Source organism: Homo sapiens, chromosome 21 (genome assembly GCF_000001405.40).
Source record: "Homo sapiens chromosome 21, GRCh38.p14 Primary Assembly".
Lineage (NCBI taxonomy): Eukaryota > Metazoa > Chordata > Mammalia > Primates > Hominidae > Homo > Homo sapiens.
Genome location: NC_000021.9, coordinates 34,108,009 through 34,125,021, shown reverse-complemented (window position 1 = coordinate 34,125,021; position 17,013 = coordinate 34,108,009). Strand labels below are relative to the sequence as shown.

The following is a 17,013-nucleotide window of genomic DNA, read 5'->3' as shown; positions in this document are numbered from 1 at the left end:
CAGTGCCAATCACTGTCAGTCCTTGTATCCCATGACTCAAAATTCAAATTCCAGGAGAAGAGTATCTCGTTGGCAGGACACCTGAACTGCCCATCCCACCAAAACTGTAGCCAGGGGGAAAAGGTGTTGTCTCCCAAAGAAAAACTGGGAGACTGTAACCAAAAGGGGGAAAGGATGGGTAATCAGACCCAAACTCTGCCCTCATGGAGCTTACAATCTAATAAAGGACAGAACACAAAATACACATGTATGGAGAGCAGAGGGCAGAATACAGGAAATAGCATAGAGACCAGAGGGCTCACGAAAGGAAGAAACATTCAGCTGGAAGAAGGGTTTCACTAAGGAAAGTTTACTTGAAAGGCACCCGGAAAATGATGACCGGAGGTACAAAGAATGAATGAACCAGCAACTGAGCCCCAGTGATGGGGTTCAGGGCAAGGGAGTGCTGAGGAGATAGACGGGTATACACTGGGCACAAGTCCATGAGTAATCAAGGCCTGTTATTTAAAAAAAAAAAAAAAAAAGCTTGAACAATATAGAATCCCATTACCCAGAGATAGACTGGATGGTGAATTAAACTTTCTGGTGAATTTCTTTCCAGATATCTCTCTATGCATATGTATACACAAGCAATTTTTGGAAGAAAAGATACTTTATAAGGATAAGCCTGAAAACTGCAACGAATGCAATGTGGAGAATGAAGGCAAGATGTGGCGAAGAAGGGCACCACAATCTGGTGGCTGAGAGAGTGCAACTGTCACTACAGCTAAAAGGAGAGCTGGAGAAGCTGGTGAGGACAGTAAGAGATGAATCTGGTTTAAGACACGCTGAGTCTCAGATGCCATGGCTCCCCTAGGTTGACCTCTCCAGATGTAAATCTTAAGCTCAAAGCAGGTGGATGAGAAATACACATTTCATAGTCACCTGCACAGACGGCTCTCTGAAGCCTGAGAAGGAGGTGAGATCAATAGAAAGGGTGGAGGGGGAGAGGAAAGGAGATCACCAGCAGAACCTTGGGGAGTACAAACATTTAGGGGCTAACAAGAGGACTCAAAGTCAGAGAAGCAAATATAAAACGTATCATCAAATAGGACAAGGAAAATCGGGAGACTGCCTTGTCCAGAATGACAATGGGGTAGAGGACAGAGATCAAGAAAAAGCCGCGGTGTGGTAGCTACATGGGCATTTGGCAAGATGGGGCCAGAAAGCAGGCTGCCAAGGTTCCCATGGTAGAGGTATGAGAACAATGGTGAGGAGGAGAAAATGCCAGGGCTCCAGGGACAAGCAACTTGAGCAACGTGTTTTAGGAGAAAACACATGGGCAAGTTGGTAGTCAAAAAGGAGCGGACCATGCAAGACGATAAAATGTAGGATTTCTAAAATAGCAACAACGATGACAGCTATGATTTACTGGATAACTACTATATGGTCTAGTGTCTTATTGTTACATATTTTATCTTCATAAAAAAAAAAAGCCAAGAAGGTTTACAGATTTGGGATGGGATCTCTAGAGAGATGCTGACAGGGCAGCTATTAAGTGGAAACGCCTGCTGCAAGGAGAAGGAAAGCTGTGGAAACCATCGGGGAGGAAGCCAGAGGCACACCTTGGCAAAGACAAGGTGCACATCTCCTCAAAGACCTACGTGAAGAGGTGCAAGCAGGGTGATTTTAAAGTGCAGGAGGAAACTTAAGAATAGGCTACCTTCCAGAGGTTCATTTGGGGATCAAATGAAGAGAAAATTGCAGAACAAGTTTAAGTGTGCATTCTGGCAACCAAACAAAATCCACTATATTTTTAAAATTTTCTTTCTGACAAGTGCTGCTAAAATGGTATGAAATGTGCTAAGTATTGGCTTAAGGCTTAGAAAAAAACATTCTTTACTTTCTTTTCATATTGAAGTCCATTAGGGATTTTAAAAATTCCTACTGAATCGTTGTTTATATATTTAACCAACCTTAAGATAAAACAGAAATTTCCTGAAGACAATAAAAATTCAGGCCAAAATCTCTTCCCATTAACAGTAGGTAAAAAGTCTAAGGCAATTTATCCTTATGATTGTATCAAACACATTCCTAGACAGTTCTAATCATATGAAGACTACATTCTTCTCACATTTCATTATAGTTCACAAAGACATCGCCATACATCTGCAGAGGACTCATTATTAACAGCAGCACAGTATTTCATTTAACTGAAAATGCTGTTTCTTGACCTGGCATTACATCAATTAACGTATGATAAGGTAAAGGAACAGCCCATCCAAATAAAGAGTCGGGTCTCAGCTTTGCACTCAAAAAAAAAAAGGAAAAAAACATTTGATTGATTAGTTTTCTGATTAGCTACCCAAATAAATTTCAATTCCAGTTTTGCCTGATTAAAAAGGAATATATCTCAATATCTTTTAAGTTCCAACTGAAGTGTTTACAGTATAAAACTCATTACCCTCTTCTGAAGTAAGAGCTTATAAAGTAAAAAACATTTTCTTCTTACATCTGTCTCAAAAAGGGGAAAGGCTACCTAACAAGAATGTAACTTAGGAAAATATAAAAAAAAAAATTGTTTGACTTCAGTATGTCAAGGTCAAACTGTAGACTACTGGAATGGCCACATTCATCTCACTTTAATTTCAAAACACCCAGAAGTATAAAACGAAAGGTGGAAGGAGGAGCAAAAATAACGCCCCATAGACCTTACCTCACCATAAAGCAGGGTTGGCAAACCAGGGCTCTTGGGCCAAATCTGGCTTGCTACCTGTATTTGCAAATAAAGTTGAACTGGAACACAGCCAACTCACACATCTGCATAGTGTCTATGGCTACTTCTGTGCTAAAGGTAGATCTGTAATTACAAGAGACCACATGGCCCCAGAGCCTAAACTATTTACTATCTGGCCAACCCCTGGTTCTATATTGTGATGGGCTGAGGGAAGCTGGCAGGTCCTTAATCCATGTACCCTAAAATGCACCACAAATAAAACCATGAGCCTGGGCCACTGACTGACGTATAGAGGGTGTATTCCTCACTGGATGTGTCATCAGGTAGACACATCGGGTACCATCTAACGAATACCATCAGTTGAGCTGTTCAACTCACTGCAGGGCTCAGAACTGATTCCACTAATCCACTATTCCATCTGCCAAGCTCCTAATAATGTCTTTATCAACCCAGGTTGCCAACTTCAATGTTCCTCATTTGGTGAAACCTATAGATCTATTAAAATAAAATTCTTACGCTTAGAGGGGAAAAAGTTCTGCTCAATCCAGCACAATGTTCAACTTACAAAAGCATATAGTTTACAGGAAACAAATGATCTTGCTGCCATAATTCTCATTTATAAAGTCTCTGAACCACTCAATTCCAACTATTCTAAGAGAAGTTGTGCAGGCTTCTGAGAGGCTTCTCTCACCCCATCTGAAAGCAACTCCTTCAACTCTTTCCTTCTACCTACCAAATGCATCAATGAAACACACTTTGGCAAGGCACAGACTGAGGGCTGAAAACATTCATTTGAAAAAAAAATACAGAAAGAAAGGAATGAATGAATGGGAATGGAAACTAGAAAAACTAGGACTATGATTCTAGTCCTAGCTCATTCACTAATGAGTTATACAAACCTGAATATGTTATTAAAATTTATCAATTTTAAACTTGTACCTCAGTTTCCTCATCTGCTAAATTAGTAGTTCTCGATTTTCCTGTTGCTACAAGCTTCACATGAATAAACAACATTCATACTGCAATTCTCAACATCTGCTGGAGGCACAACAAAGTTTGATGAAAGTCTTTTTATGCCCCCCAATTCTGATATCTTCATCACCAAAATGCACCTCCATCCCCCAGTTCTCCTGATGTCATTCTTTTTTTACTTCTAACAGCACTACAGCAATCTAAAAATATTCTTTCACTAACCAGAATGTAAGCTACAGAGGAGCAAGGACCTTTGTCTATCTTGTACATGACTGTATTCCCAACGTCTAAAATGGGCCACACTCATCGAACAGGTGCTAGAAATAGCTGTGCTAATTGTACCTCCTTTAAGAGGGTCTCTTGCTTACTTACTCCTATCTTTCCTCAAGGAACTCTAAGTTTCCTTCTATCTCTAACATAACTTGAAGCCACTTTTCATATACAACAAAGCTCACTATCAAGGTGGTAACTGTAACACTGAGGCAAAATTACAATACTAATGTTTTCCCATTTACTTCACGCAGTACCAAAATGCTGTTCACACCAATACTGTATTTCAAAAATACCTACAATTCATCTAGAAGTGAAATTAATTAAATATTTTATACATTTCAAATATCAAATTCCAATACACATATAAATATAAATGTTAAAATTACATTATAATTATTTGCTGATTAGGTAAGATAAAGTACTATCCAAAAATTTAACGAAATAGTATAATACTTATAAAAAAGGTAATTAATCCTAGAAGAAATTAAAGCTAATTTTTTATATTAATTACCAAAACTAATGTTTAGCCTACAAAAGACTTAGGGAAAACCCAAGAGCTAACTTCAAATATTTGCAGGGCTATTATGCAAAAGGTAGATTTGTTTTATTTTGATTGGATTCCAAGAGTGGACTAGAATCAAAGGGTAAAAATTAGAGAAATCAAGCTGTATTTTGTAAACAAGAACATATTTCCAAAAATATACAGCTGTATGAAAATGCAGTGGGCTGCCTTGTGAAGTAGTGACCTTCCCATCACTTGAAGTACATAAATAGATACAGGATGGCTGTTGGATTAATATCTGCATGGGTGGGAGGTTGAACTCAACAACTTCTTAAAGCCCCTACCAAGACTAAATACTACTCTGGTACCACTCATCATTCTGAAGGACATTCTGCAGTGAAGCCAGTTTTGAAAACTGCAACTGCATAGCAATGAAGAATACACGTACTGCTAGGAAAAGTTAATGCTGCTGACTAGATTCATGCTAACGTACCAGCTGTTCTACTCACTACTGTTTTCACAATGATCTTCTAAAAGGGTCCCCCGTAAAGCCCAAGAGTCCTCAAACCATATTTTGAAAACCACAGTTCTAGAGATGCTAATGGGAAAAGTTGCTGTAGTAAAAGATGAGAGCAAAAAGGTGGGAAGAATGAAAGGAAGAAAGGAATCTCTCCTTGTCCCCCAAATAAAATCCCCACTCAGGAAGGTTACTGAAGCTAAGAATTCATGGAAGTATCATAACCACCACCACTAGTCAATGACCAACGTTTAACCTAATTAAACATATTTTCATCCCAGAAGAGAAACTTGTCAACAAAATTATCTTAGAAATTAGACTCTATGGGAAAGACAGTTTTAAGCCAGTGGCCTCCAATATACCCAGCTAGCACTACCACACCCTAGTTCCCCAGAAAATAAAGCACACATAGAATCCACAACATTCAACAGCATGCAGCATCTACCTACACCCTGCCCGCCTCACGTTACAAAGAGTTATACAACACTCAAGAGCAGGCAGGACTCAGGGAAGGTAGAGCCAAGACACAGAACTGTCAAAACCTGTGAAAATGTACATGTAAAAGTCTTTCCCATTCTTTGCTGAATCTTAATTCCAAATCTTACTTCCTTTAAAAAATTTCCTTGCAATTTAAATTTTCAAATAGAAAGGCTGTCCCTGTGAATTCTGCATTGACATTCTCACAGCAATCTGAAAATCTGTGAGCCCTAACTTTTCAACAGTCAAATGGGTGTCATGGAAAGTGGCTGAAGTTCTAGCAGACCTTGGGAGAACCATCTACATAAAAATATGTGAAGTGCCAGCCTTGCCTAATGACATAAGCAAAGCCCAACTATGAAATTGATTCCACAGGAACTGTTTGATCAAATATTCTTCATTGTAGAGAACCTCTTTTGCCCAACAATTTATTGAATCAGGAGTTTCAGTCCTCTAGGTAATTAAGGAATAAAAATTATCGAACACAGAAACTACTTTTTAAATTAGAATAAAATTCAATAAGGACAAGTCTAGAACACTAAGAAACATAAAGATGCCTAAGTACATGTTCAAATGTGATTACTTACCTCTACAGGCCTGAACCTGAAGTTATAACTTGAAGTGACTAGAAAAGTAACCTTTATAGGCTTTGTAAAGGTCAAAGATAGAAAACACTTATTAAAATTTAAATGCTGTACTCCTTTGCTTATGAATCATATTATATAGGCCATTTTTAAGAAACATGGAGTAGGCTGGGCACAGTGGTTCTTTCCTGTAATCCCAGCACTTTGGGATGCCAAGGCGGGCAGATCACTTGAGGCCAGGAGTTTGAGACCAGCCTGGCCAACATGGCGAAACCCCATCTCTACTGAAAATATAAAAATTAGCCAGGCGTGGTGGTGTATGCCTGTAGTCCCAACTACTCGGGTGGCTGAGGCTCAAAAATTACTTGAGCCAGAAGGAGGTTGTAGTGAGCTGAGACTCTGTCTCAAAAAAAAAAAAAAAAAGAAAGAAAGAAAGAAATGTGGAGTAACTAATGAATAAAGACTTAACAGGCTTTAAAACAGTAGGTAAATGGGAGGGGAAAGAAGAGACAGGAACCAAAATACAGTGACCCTGGAGCAATACAGGTTGAAACTGTGTAGGTCCACTTACAAGCGAATTTTATTCAATAAATATATTGGAAAAATTTTTGAAGAGTCACAACATTTTGGAAAAAAAAACTTGCTTTTTCTCTAGCTTACTTTATTGTAATACAGTATATAATACACATAACATACAAAATAACATTGGTAAGGCTTCCAGGTCAACAGTAGGCTATTGGTAAAGTTTCTGGGGAGTCCAAAGTTTACACACAGATTTTCAATTATGCATACCCCTACACTGTTCAAGGGTCTAACTGTACATAAAGTGTAGTAAGAAAATAATAGTGTAATGCAGAGAAAAACTCTTTGAATAAACCAATGCTGTGTGCTCTGCAAAAACAAAAATACCCCAAATTTTAAAATTTTTAAAATAATGTTGAAAAAAATACTGCAGATTCACAGGTCAGGCTTTTCAAGTGGTCATTTAATTGTCAGGCTATAGTGTAGAATCTTAAGAATTGCTTAAGTTAATATATTAACTAAAAAGCACTCGTGAATATGGTATTTATATAATCATCTTTCTGAGAAACAGTTACATGCGGGAAAACATCACGCATCTTTATGGGGAAGCCATTTTAAAATAACTTAAATGGCACAAGTCATTTAAGGAGATACATACATACACAGGAGATACATACATCCTGACACCTGCATGTGGAGTGAAAGGGCAAAGTGAATGATCTCTTATGGGCAGACCAAATTCTGCGGGTATCAGAAATGTAAGCTGAAACTTAGGAAATTGCCATTTTGGTTCAACTTAACATTTATCTGGAAACATTCTTCTCAAAGTGTCTTCCTCAAGACAAGTATGTCCAAGCTGCTCGCTAGGAAGCCCATCTCCAAAAGGGTAGCCGCAGGGAAATGGAACACCAAGTCCCTGTCCCTAAAAAGTCTGCGATACAGATAGGAAGACAGACACTTGTAAGTTACTAATAAAGGCAGATTCAAACACAGGCAATACTGATGTGAAAAGCAATGATGCCACAAGAACTCAAAAGAAGGAATTACTACTACTAACTGGTTGGTTGAAGAAAGCAGATTTCAGCCAGACCCTGAAAAATGAATACCCCGTCAGGAGGGAAAGAGGGCCACTTTGGGTGCTCTCAGAGTGGGTCTGAACTAACAGCAGACGAAAGGAAGGGAGAAAATTCTTATGAAATTTATATTTGGGGTAGAATCAACATGGGTACTGAATTTAGTATAGGTAGAAGCCTTTGTTTTCTTCCACCTATGGCACTATTTTGCCTAGAACATTAAGATTTCAGTTTCTTCAAACACTCACCTACACTATTGGTAAAAATGTAAACTTTCTGGAAGACAATTTGGCAATGTATATTAATTTAAAATGTGTACACCTTTAACTCCACAGCTACTTCTAGTGTGGGGAATCAGTCAGAGTGGTGGGAAAAACTACAGGGAAAGGACCTAAACCTTCTGAAAGGTCGGAAGGTTCTGCAGAGCCCCAGGGGAGAAGAGCTGAAGGCAGCTGTTCTATAACCCTGAGGCAGAGGCCAAGGAGTAGGTACAAGGGAGTGTAGGGGAATTTATCTTAAAGAGGCTTGTTTACTTATGCTGACCAGGAACTGATCTTTGATCATCCTCTCGCATGAGGTTCTCTGAAAGGGGGGCAATAAATGTTAATTACCTACAGGTTGTGTTTGCTCCATGTTTTCAGCATTGTGCCGGCACTGAATAAAACCAAGCAGCTCCAGCTTCTTGGGGCTGCTCTGGCCACTAGAGCCAGGCAGTCAACTAGCTGCTCTTACACTGCATACCTGTGTCTGAGTACTCATTTCATCCGTAGCCAGGGTCTGCAGGACACACCCAGCATTCTAGGAATTTAAGCAAACTACCATACCCATGTACCAGACTTAGCTATGAAAAATGCTCATCATAAAGTTATTAGGATAGTGAATGAATGGAAATCTTATTGCCCAATGGAGACTGGTTCAATAAACGATTTCCACTGATTGAATAAGTACGATACAACCATTTAAAAATCCACCAAGATTTCAGAAATCACCACTAAAGAACTTATTAATGTAACCAAACACCACCTGTTCCCAAAAACACCTATAGAAATTAAAAAAAAAAAAAAAAACATGGATGATTGAGAGGCTGAAGCAGGCAGATCGCTTGAGCCCAGGAGTTCGAGACCAGCCTGAGCAACATGGTTAAATCCCATCTCTACAAAACACACATACACACACACACACACACACACACACACACACACACACAAAATTAGCTGGGCATGGTGGGACACACCTGTAGACCCAGCTACTCAGGAAGCTAAGATAGGAGGATTGCTTGAGGCTAGGGAAGATGAGGCTGCAGTGAGCCATGACTGTGGCACCACACTCCATCCTGGGTAACAGAGTGAAACCCTGTCGGGGTTGGGATGGGGTATGATCCTTACATACTGGCATAAAAACATTTTAATAATAAAATAAAATCAGCATGGAGAGTACATCCATGTATCTTCCAAAAAAAAAAAAAGGACTATGTAGACAAACATGGAAAAAAGAACGGATGACTATGCAAGGTATTAGTCTTCCCTAGGTAGCAAAACAAGTGGAGTATTCCATTTTTTTTTCTTTTACACTCTGATTTACGATGAGCAATTAAAACGTGTTTCAGTGACAAACTTCTTTTGCAACAAATTCAATTTTTCCTTTAAAGAATTTCTTCTCCCAAGTCTATCCCAACCGCTATCTTGCCACAGATACCATAATTTGTAAATTCTGTCTTCAAGTCCCAGATCTACACTTGGACACTGAAAACTCATTCACTGACTCCGTGTCCATCCAGGCTTTTAACAATATAGTAATAATCAGAGAGGTATAAACAGGTGGCTTCCAGAGGTTACTGAAAGAGTCTTGCAAGCTGGTACTTCCAGCATCATTAATTATTACAACTGGTTACTCTGTCTCTTGGGGAATGAGAGGAAAAACTGGAATCCAGAAGTACTGGTCCCAGAATCAGAGTGCACCAAAAAGACGTGATAGGACAAGACCAAGTCTGGCCCTGACACCACAGTGGTCAATGAAGCCAAGGGATGTGGAAACAGGAGCCTGCCCATTCTATGGCCATGCAGCCAGGAATAAGACTCTTGAGACCTGGGAAATCCAACATTAAGAAGTACTCTTTGGGCAATGTGATGAAAACAAAAAGAACTCAGAGAAGAATGGAGGTTAAAAAGAAAACAGGAGCAAGAAGCCAATGACTGGTCCAGTAACTGATCTGAGTTCAGCACACATTAATCCTGGGCCAAAACGAAGGACCCAAGAACAAGGCAGAGGCATTGTTATCTTCTCAGTGAGATAATGCATGGCTGAATTTGCAAACGTAAAAAGCAGATGACTGAGGAGTAAAGCAACTTGAGCTGCAAGGTAGGCAAAATGCCTTTAAGTCATAAACTACACTTACCCATCCAAGGGGCCCCTGCACCAAGTGCCTGCTAAGCCATCAATACCAGCATTGGAATCAAAAGGCTATGAGCGAATAAATTTAAAAAATGAACCCACTGAGCAGAAGGGAAGACATAATTATAGGAGATCCAACCTTGTGTGAACTTACTAGTTGTCAGCTATATATTAGTTAGTCATGTGCCTTGGTTAACATTAATCTCTAGTTCAATAATAATGTACCTTTGTTCCTTAATCAACTAATTTCTGAGGTTTCAAATCAAAGAATATCATTCAGATGTCATTCATTTAAGGACAAATTTGGGGGCTCACTTGCATATAATCAATCATTCCTTTCATGATTTGGGTAAGTCAAAGGAAAAGGGCAGAAATCACCAAGGTATTTCTCAGCACTTGAATCACCTGGGAGCTTTAAAAATAAAGGTGTCTGCATCTTACCCTCAGATATTTCAATTCAATTGGCTTAAGGATTCAAAAATCCTGGACACTAAGATTTTTTTAAAGCTCCCCAGGTGCAAACAAATGTGAGAACCGCACTCTAGTAGGAAGCTAGCTGGCTTCTCATCCTCCCAAAGATGAATGACTCTGGCTGAATTGCAGTTTGTAAAAGATTTTAAGCAATGATCTTCTCCAACACTAATTTAAGGAACATAAAAGTTTCACTCTTTCTCACCAATAATATTGGAGTCTTGTCTGAATGTGAAATGGAAAAATGACAACCCCAGTGGGTGACTATTTGTGGTAAATACTACTGCATCAGCTAGAAACAATGCCAAAATGAAGGTACCCTACTTGCTATTCTAAGGACATTTTAAAGTCCATGATCCTCTTGCTGAGAGGTTTCCATTTCTATACTCCCCATCCCCCTTCAGATGCACTCACAGATAAAAGATAAACGGGAAGACTGGCAGGAGTCCTGGTTACTATGACAGCAAGTAAAGGAAATGCCTAAGCTTGTGAAATGGATAGTGGGAGCAGGAATCAGGTAGGCATTACTGAGCCACCTGCCTTATTGATTGCATGCCTTCATGCACAATTCAGTTCCCTGCCTTCGCCTTATATTTCAACCTCTTCACAGGGTAGAAGGGAGACAGCACTGGAGTGACAAGAAAACCAGGGGAGGGAACAGTCAACCAAAGATTTAGATGGTAGAGACAAAAGGTTTATAAGAAAATGAATCTTCTACATATCCATGTAAGGTTTAGCAAAAATATCACCTGGTGGACTGGGTTAAGAGAAGTTCTTAAAATCATACATTCCTAGAATGACAAACATGGACTTTGACAAAAAAGTCAGATTTGCATAATTTGCTCAACAACAGACAAAAAGCATGTCCATCAACTAGGCCAACTGCAGTGATGCTTAAATTCAAGTGGTGGGAGGAAGGCACCTGATGGACTGCTCTATTCTGTAGAGCAGGGAAGAGAAAGGACACAAACACAAAGGAATTATAGGAATAAAAACATGCATCAAGATTCAGCTACTTTTTCAGATGCCACATATGAGGGAAATCATATGTTGTCTTTCTGTGTCTGGCTTATTTCACTTCACATAATGTCCTCTAGGCTCATCCATGTTGTTGCACAGGATTTCCTTTTTTATGGCTGAAGAGTATTCTATTGTGTATGTATGCCATACTTTATCCATTCATCCACTGATGGACACTTAGGTTGATCCACATCTCAGCTATTGTGAATAGTGTTGCAACGAACACAGGAATACAGACACCTCTTCGATGCTGATTTTATTCCATTTATCCAGTAGTAAGACTGCTGGATCATATGGTCATCCTATTTTTAATATTTTGAGAAATCTCCATACTGTTTGCCACAATGGCTGTACTAATTTATTCCCACCAACGGTGTGCAACAGTTCCTTTTCTCCATATCCTCGTCAACATTTGTATTTTGTCTTTTTCATAATAGCCATCCTGACAGACATGAGGTGATATCTCAATGTGGTTTTTTGTTGTTGTTGTTGTTCATTTGTTTGTTTTTGATAGAGACAGGGTTTCACCATGTTGGCCAGCCTGGTCTCAAACTCCTGACGTCAAGCGATCCACCCACCTCAGCCTCCCAAAGTGCTGGATTATAGGAATGAGCCACCGCACCCACAAAACCCTCAGTGGTTTTGTGTTTCTCTGAATTATGTTAAATGAAATAAGACAGGCAAAGAAAGACAAATACTGTATAATCTCACTCATGACATTTTAAAAAGTTGATCTCATAGAGAGTAGAATGGTGGTTACCAGAGGCTTAGGTGGTTATGGGGAGGGGGGATTGGGAGCTGCCAGTCAAATGATATATAATCATAGACAGAGGAATATTTTTTAAAGTGTCCAGAATAGACAAATACAGACAGAAAGTAGGTAAGTAATTGTCTGAGCCAGGGGATAGTGGGGAGAGAATAGGTGTGGGGAGGGAGAATTGGGGAGTGACAACTAATGATTATGAATGTTCTAAAACTGACTGTGGTGATGGTTGCACAACTTTAAAAACCACTGGATTGTACACTTCAAATGGGTGAATTGTAAGATACATGAAATTTATCTCAAACTGTTTTTTTGAAAAGATCCAGCTACTTTCTATAAACGTGTCTTTCTTCTGTAACCCCATAGGTATCGCTCGCATTCCACATACATCTTGCAAGTGTAATTATATAGGAGTCTGTCCCTATTCTTAAACCTCTTCAAATTGCTTCTTACTCATGGTTATTAGATGCTGGAGGTCCAAAGAACTTGGCTTACAATACACGTTCAATAAATGTTTGATGACTAGTCAAAGAATAAATGGAGAATTGAGAAATAAAAGTTGCTAACTGTACTTAATATAACTAGAAAGGAAGAAAAGATTATACTGAGTCATAAAATTTAAAAGATCTTCACTGCAAAGAGGAAAACAGAGTATTTTTTGAAAGACAGAGATGCATAATGAAGTTAATGCACATCCCACTAGTCAAAAGGAGAGATGCAGAGTAAAAGAACTAGAAATAAGACAAAAGACAGAAACAACATCTAAGGCACAGGCAGAAACACTTAACAGTGCATCCAAACTTCTAAAAATTCTTGGGATTAAAATACAAAACCAAATGGATGTTCAACTCCTGAAGCATATGGGGAACAATACAGCAACAAAAAAAAAAAAAAACCTCAACTCTGAAAAGCCATGGAAAGCTGGAAAGAGAGTCAGAAACTCCTATGAAGAGACAACAGGACTTTACAGGGGGCCTACCTTAGGGTATGCCAGTGAGATCCCAAATTAGACTTGGAAGGGGGCAAGCCCTAGGGAATGGTGGCTCTCATTTTGTTGCATTATTAGCAGTGTCTCTCCTCAATTACTGAAACATGGAGGCCACATATGAAAAGGAACCTCAACTGCCTCAAAGTTATCCAGAGGAAAAAACAGAAGAGCAAGATGGTGAAGGGTCTGAAATCTATGCCCTGTGCTATACACCCAGAGAGTGAAGAACATGATGTCTGATTTTGAGACTTCAGAATACATTTATCTTCAACATTTCTCTTCAAATAGAAGTGGGGGAGGGGATAACACTTCAGAGGTAGAACTTGGGAGTAAAAGCCAGAGACAGATTTAAGGTCAATCAGAAAATCCTTTAAAGTTTAGAACTTTCTGAAAGTGGAATGAGCCTCCTTGGCAGGAAGCGGGTGGTGGTGCTGGTAATGTTCTATTTCTTATGGGTGGTGGTTACATAGGTATTTGCTTCACAATTCCAAGTGATTCTCATTAATCATGGAATCCATATATGCCAATTTGCCTACTTGCTAAAATTTATTTGTAGCCCCCAAATCAATACCCCCAACAATACTGCAGTCATCTGTAGATATGCACACATGCACAGCATGGTGGAAAACTGCAGTCCCCTATTGCACACATTCCCAGCTGAGGCAGACAAAGGCAATGTTTCGCCCTTGTTTCAGCTCACATATCATAAACAAGGGTCCTTTGGCTGTCTATTTAGTACCATGTTTTTTTGCATGTGTGCTTTCTGGGGGTCATTTCGTTGTTTAAAATGGCTCCCAAGTGCAGTGCTGAAGGGCTGTCTAGTGTTCCTAAGCGTAAGGATGTGATGTGCCTTAGGAAGAAAATTGAAGCTTATCTAGCACAATGCAGGCATGAGTTCTAGCGCTATCGGTCTTGAGCACAATGTTATCACTGTTAGCAATGTTATCAACAATTAGTAACTATGTTGTCTTTAAACAGAAACACACATGAGGCAAGGTCATGTATTGATTGACAAACACGTATTGACAAAAATGACATGACCATACACTGGAAGGAATCTAACGCAAGGGGCAACGATTCAGAATTCACTCATGCAGTGTTTGAGGTAAATTTACAAAACATAACTACCACAAATAACTGTTTACTACACCATACATGTGTCATTTTATGGAATATGTTAAAACTCACAATAAAATAGCTTTGATGAGTGGTATTCAATACACATTGTATAAAAGAATCACCTATACAGCCTTTTTTTTTTCTTTTTAATGAGACAGGATCTCACTCTGTTGCCGCCTAGGCTGGAGTACAGTGGCACAATAGTAGCTCACTGTAGCCTCGACCTCCCAGGCTCAAGCAATCCTTCTGCCTCGGCCTCTTGAGTAGCTGGCCTCTTGAGTAGCTGGGACTACAGGTGTGCATCTGCACATGTGGCTAACTTTTGTGTATTTTGTAGATATGGGGTTTCGTTATGTTGCCCAAGCTGGTCTCGAACTCCTGGGCTCAAGTGATCCACCAGCCTCAGCCTCCCAAAAGTGCTGGAATTACAGGCATGAGCCACTGTGCCCAGCCAACTACGCAGCTTTTAAGGCCCCTTTGAAATGTGAACAATTTTCATCGCTTAGCACTTAGAAATAAGCAGAACTTTAAAACTCCAACTGTGCTTCTGGTAGGCAACATGTTATCTCAGGGAAGGGCAGAAATGGGCAATAGGCTCTGAAATTTCAACCTTCAAAAGGTTAAAGGGTGAGTACCAGAATTTCCAGGCAAGCCAGAGGATTCAACACAAGCACCTAATTATGCTCCCACCTGAAAACCTACTAGAACTACTGTAAAGAGATTTTTTTCAGCTTTATGGAGGTATGATTGTCAAATAAAAATGATATATATTCAAGGTAAACAATGTGATGTTTTGATGCACATATTGTGCAGGATTTTTTTTTTTCAGGTACAACCTTACAAGAATACGAGAAGAAACATTAGCAATAACATTCTGGAAGAAAGGAAGTAGAAGCAGAAAATCAACAATGGGAAAAACTAAGAATCAACCATACCAACACTGGGCACCTCTGGGAAGTGGGGGTGAAGTGACACTAAAATAAATACAATTGGTCAAAAGTTTAAGGACTAGTTGGATCCTGAGATGCATATTTGAAGGTTTATACTCTGCGGCAGATAAAAAAGAGGGCTCTGCATTGGAGGGCACAGGCACAGCTCTAAATGGTAGTACTGTACCAAAGAGATTAAGGAAAAAATGCAGGCTGTGAATGATGGGGCCCCTGTGTTCTTTCCCCACTTGGCTCTCACAGTCATGGCAAAAGGCCTTTTATCCTTCAGTTTAAAACTCAAAACTTTCTTTGGAAAGCTTGACTTATTCTAAAGATATCGCAGGACTTAACCCAACAAACAGCCAGGCCGTTGCAGGCCCAATCGTGATGCCAGCGTGCTCCACCCTATTAAAAATAAGCAGATCAGCATATATCGGAGAAAAGCCTTTAACATGGAAGATTAACACAGAAAAAAAACTATCTTGAAGTAAATAAAGCGGGAGTGGAAGACGACAGTACCTTCAGAGATGAGAAGATACAAGATATAAGACAAGAATAAGAGACTATAAAAAAAGATTTCAGGAACAAAAGAGCTCTTAAAATTGAAAAACTCAACAGAAATTTTATTCTTTTTCAACAGAAGGGTTGGAAGATAAAGTTTAGAAACTGCCCTAGAAAGAGCAAAGAGATGAAAATTAAGAGCAAAGGCATGAAACCAAGTGTACCAGTCCAGGAGGTCCAAGAGCTAAACAAAAGGGGCTCTAAGCAGGAGAGAGCAGGGAGAATCACAGTCCCAGCACGGAGCTGCCATACTGAAAGAACCCACCAAGGGCCAGTACTGTCCAAGAAAAACTTTTGTCAAGGTACCTAACTGAAATTTTAGAGCACAGAGGCTAGAGGCTAGAAAATTCCTATGGTCTTATGATTTCAAATTTCTGAAGGAAAGTGCTTTCTAACCCAGAATTCTACATTCAGCCAAAGTTGCAAACAAATACGAGGTAGAATAAAGACTCTATCCATGCAAAAATTAATTCTAAGGTGTTACAGGATTCAACAAAATGAGTTGCATCAGTATTATCAGATTTCTCACTGCTGGAGAAGAGAAATACAAACACCGAGGGAAGGCTAAAAAGAAACCACTGGTGTTGGTTTAGAACTGGAGGCATCTGTAGATGTGCACAGTTAGCAACAGGAACATGTTCTGAGAAATGCGTCGTTAGGCAGTTTTGCTTTGTACAATCATAAAGTGTACTTCTGCACACCTAGAAGGCGTACCCTACTACACACCTAGGCTATGTGGTGTAGCCTACTGTTCCTAGACTACAAACCCACGCAGTTACTGCAGGGAATACTGTAAGTAACCGCACAACGACAAGTACTTGAGCATCTAAACATAGAAAAGGTCCAGTCAAAATATGGTATAAAAGATAAAAAACGGTATACCCATAAAGGGCACTTACCATGAATGGAGCTGGCAAGACTGAAGTTGCTTTGGGTGAGTGGTTAGTGAATGTAAAAGCTTAAGACATTACTGTCCACTTTTATATCCCTGGCAGCAGAGTTTGTTTACACCAGCACCACCATCAACAGGAGTAACGTGTTACGGTACGTTACAAGATCACTAGGCTACAGAAACTTTTCAGCTCCATTATTTTATAGGACCACCATCATATACGTCGTCCATTGTTCACTGAAA

At 39.5% G+C, this 17,013-nt stretch overlaps 1 protein-coding gene across 1 annotated transcript in view; it reads right to left on the bottom strand.

Moving 5' to 3' along the window:
* MRPS6 (mitochondrial ribosomal protein S6) overlaps window positions 1-17,013 on the bottom strand; it is a 69,453-nt gene that overhangs the window by 18,009 nt on the left and 34,431 nt on the right. The window lies entirely within an intron of this gene.